Genomic DNA, 1,768 nt, shown 5'->3' with positions numbered 1-1,768 from the left:
TTAACACTTTAGCCATCCTTGTCGGTGTGAAATGACATTTTTCAGGGGTTTTTAATTTGCAATTTTCCTGGTGACTAATAATGTTTGGCACCTTTTAATATACTTACTAGCCATTTGAAGACCTTATTTTGTGAAACAGCTAGTCGAGTCTTTTCTTATTGGGTTGTTAGTGCTTTTGTTATTGGAGTCCTTTCTATATGCCAGGCCCTTTGTCAGACGTCTGAATTACGAGCTTTTTTTCCTCTTGGGTTGTGCATTGCTTTTTTTGTTTTCATAGCAGCGTCTTGCAAAGGGAGAAGCTCCACATTTTGTTGAAAGCTAATGTATCCGTTGTTCTTTTTACAGTTCAGGCTTTCCCTGTGTTGTGATATTTTTATCTGCTCCAAGGTTGGGAAGATTTTCAAGCATGCTTTCTTCTAGAGACTTATACATTTTAGTTTTTAATTTTAGTTCTAGGATACATTTTGCTTTACAGTCTGTATGTGGTATGAAGTAGGGGTTCAATCTTGTTGTTTCTTGTACTCTCATATTTTTATTCTAATCCCATTTGTTGAAAAGATCTTAAAATGTGTAATTTATTAACTCTTTGTACCCTTTGCCCTTGCATAATGTGTTTGAGAATCAGTATATCAAGTTCTATAAAAAAAATCTTTCGATTGCTTTGATTGCATTAAAGTTATATATAAATTTGGGACAAATTGGCAGCTTTAAAATATTGAGTCTTTCTATCCATAAAATGCCTATTTCCCCACTTTTTAGTTTGTTTTTAAACATTTCAATAAACTTATAAAACTTTATCTTAAATAAATTGCACATTCTTGGTTAGATTACACTTTGGGGTCTCCGTTATCATTTTCGTTACCATTGTATATTATATATTTTTACATTGTATGTTCCCTTTATTGCATGTATTACAAAAATGCAAATAACATATTATATACTGATTTTTTAACTTGCCAAACTGTTTTATTCATTATTTATTCTAGAAATACTAACATGCATATTTAATTTGACAGTTAAAATTTAATAAGTCTGTTTACCTCTCTCCAAATTTATGTGCTGTTTTCGTCCAGCACTTTAGTCTTAATTTTTAACCCCGCAGAGTGTTCCTTCATTACTGTTCGCTCATAGATCAAGGCAGATTCATATTTTGCCATATTTAGTGCTTTCTTTGCTCACTATTCTTGCAGGCATCTGACTTTTCTCTTGGGATGACTTTTTTTCTTTCTCTAGAACTGCATTATAACGTTAGTTAGTGAGAGTCTGTTGGAGTAAATCTCTGTTTTTTTTTTTTAACTTTTCACCTCTTTATTTTGCCTTTGCCTTTATATTCTACAGATGTTGGGTACTGTGTTGAACATTTATTTAAAAAGGTAAACTTAGTTACCCTCTTGTGTGTATCTTCTGTGTACTTGCAGATTTATGTATTCATCTGGCTATACTATCAGTTATTAAGACAGCTATATTAAAATCTACCATTATGATGATTAATTTGTCTACTTTTAAAAAATTCTGCTCATATTTATTTCATATATTTTAAGGTTCTATTATTAGGTACATGCACGATTAGAACACTTATATCTTCCTGTTATTTTATCATGTGCTGCCCTCTTTAATCTCAAATAATGTTTTTTTCACTAAAGTATACTTGGTTTGTTGTTAATACACATATAGCAGCTTTCTTTTCCTAGTGTTGTGTGTAGAGCTGCCCCCAGTGTTAGTGAGATCCTATGCAAATCTTTTACGTGGGGCCCCTGTCTAGAGAAAT

Source organism: Homo sapiens, chromosome 10 (assembly GCF_000001405.40).
Source record: "Homo sapiens chromosome 10, GRCh38.p14 Primary Assembly".
In the NCBI taxonomy this organism is placed as follows: Eukaryota; Metazoa; Chordata; class Mammalia; order Primates; family Hominidae; genus Homo; species Homo sapiens.
Note: the sequence above shows the minus strand (reverse complement) of the source record.